The 2280-nt window shown below is 48.5% G+C and overlaps 1 annotated feature.

Moving 5' to 3' along the window:
• Positions 379 to 879: an enhancer, noted in NCBI's record as "H3K4me1 hESC enhancer chr2:21436748-21437248 (GRCh37/hg19 assembly coordinates)". NCBI's record gives its function as "activates a minimal SCP1, AML or CMV promoter by ChIP-STARR-seq in naive H9 embryonic stem cells {active_cell/tissue: H9 hESC(naive)}" and the evidence as "EXISTENCE:reporter gene assay evidence [ECO:0000049][PMID:30033119]".

Genomic DNA, 2280 nt, shown 5'->3' on the forward strand with positions numbered 1-2280 from the left:
TTTATCTTCTTTGCCTTTGGTTTGAATTTCCTCCTTTAGCTCAGAGTAGTTTGATCGTCTGAAGCCTTCTTCTCTCAACTCGTCAAAGTCATTCTCCATCCAGCTTTGTTCCGTTGCTGGTGAGGAACTGCGTTCCTTTGGAGGAGGAGAGGCGCTCTGCTTTTTAGAGTTTCCAGTTTTTCTGCTCTGTTTTTTTCCCCATCTTTGTGGTTTTATCTACTTTTGGTCTTTGTTGATGGTGATGTACAGATGGGTTTTTGGTGTGGATGATCTTTCTGTTTGTTAGTTTTCCTTCTAACAGACAGGACCCTCAGCTGCAGGTCTGTTGGAGTTTGCTAGAGGTCCACTCCAGACACTGTTTGCCTGGGTATCAGCAGTGGTGGCTGCAGAACAGTGGATTTTCGTGAACCGCGAATGCTGCCGTCTGATCGTTCCTCTGGAAGTTTTGTCTCAGAGGAGTACCCGGCCGTTTGAGGTGTCAGTCTGCCCCTACTGGGGGGTGCCTCCCAGTTAGGCTGCTCGGGGGTCAGGGGTCAGGGTCCCACTTGAGGAGGCAGTCTGTCCGTTCTCAGATCTCCAGCTACATGCTGGGAGAACCACTGCTCTCTTCAAAGCTGTCAGACAGAGACATTTAAGTCTGCAGAGGTTACTGCTGTCTTTTTGTTTGTCTGTGCCCTGCCCCCAGAGGTGGAGCCCACAGAGGCAGGCAGGCCTCCTTGAGCTGTGGTGGGCTCCACCCAGTTGGAGCTTCCCGGCTGCTTTGTTTACCTAAGCGAGCCTGGGCAATTGCGGGCGCCCCTCCCCCAGCCTCACTGCCACCTTGCAGTTTGATCTCAGACTGCTGTGCTAGCAATCAGTGAGACTCCGTGGGCATAGGACCCTCCGAGCCAGGTGTGGGATATAATCTCCTGGTGTGCCGTTTTTTGAGCCCATCAGAAAAGCGCAGTATTATGGTGGGAGTGACCGGATTTTCCAGGTGCCGTCTGTCGCCCTTTTCTTTGACTAGGAAAGGGAACTCCCTGACCCCGTGCACTTCCCGAGTGAGGCAATGCCTCGCCCTGCTTCGGCTCATGCACGGTGCGCTGCACCCACTGTCCTGCACCCACTGTCTGGCGCTCCCTAGTGAGATGAACCCGGTACCTCAGATGGAAATGCAGAAATCACCCGTCTTCTGCGTCGCTCACGCTGGGAGCTGTAGACTGGAGCTGTTCCTATTCGGCCATCTTGGCTGCCCTCCACCCAACAATTTTATTTTATGTCTTGATATCCATGTATTCTATTAAGTTCTCTAGTGTTGTCTTATTGATGAGTAATGAAGGACTAAAATGAAAAGAAACTGTGAGGCCAGGTGTGGTGGCTCATGCCTGTAATCCCAGCACTTTGGGAGGCTGAGGCGGGTAGATCACCTGAGGTCAGGAGTTCAAAGACCAGCCTGTCCAACATGGTGAAACCTCCTCTCTACTAAAAATACAAAAGTTAGCCGGGCATGGTGGCAGGTGCCTGTAATCCCAGCTACTCGGGAGGCTGAGACAGGAGAATCGCTTGGACCTGGGAGGCGGAGGTTTCAGTGAGCCAAGATCGCACCACTGCACTCTAGCCTTGACAACAAAGAGTGAAACTCCATTTCAAAAATAAAAAAGAAGAGAAAAAGAAAAGAAACTGTGGTTTGCTATATCTTCCCCTCTCCTTCTATGCCATCGTTTTGAATGTTAAATGGCAGGAAGGAAGGAAGGAAATACAAAGGAAGTAACATGAGTACGAAAGGATATGATTAGGTTCCTTGGTTGCTTCTGTTTTTTAGAATGCCATTTCCTTTTTGTATATTCTAAGCAAGTTCTGGTCCAATGGAAAGGGTGGGATCATCGGCTTCAGAGCCCTTGCTTATTCAGTCATAGATGTGACACACTTACCTTGTACTTGCTTTGAATCTCACTGAAATCCCAGAATTCTATGTTGGTTAGGTATTGCAAATATACCTAACATTTGAATGGGGCCCCAAGGAATGGTGGACGTGCATGTTGTACACCTCTTCTCTGCTCATTTGTGTGGTCCATTGTCTCTTTGTACTTCACTTACAAAATACAAGTTCAGAGATAAAATCATTAAGAATGTTAAGATGACACAAGAAGAGTATTAAGCCAAGTGCAGGGCTCTCTTCAATGTGAGTCCCTGTGAGACCACACAGATTGCATGCCCTTGAGGCTGGCCTTGATTAGGGCTGAGGAACACTAATCTTGGAGAATTCACCACTTGTATAACAAACAATAAGCAAGCTCTTTA

Source organism: Homo sapiens, chromosome 2 (assembly GCF_000001405.40).
Source record: "Homo sapiens chromosome 2, GRCh38.p14 Primary Assembly".
Classification (NCBI taxonomy): Eukaryota; Metazoa; Chordata; class Mammalia; order Primates; family Hominidae; genus Homo; species Homo sapiens.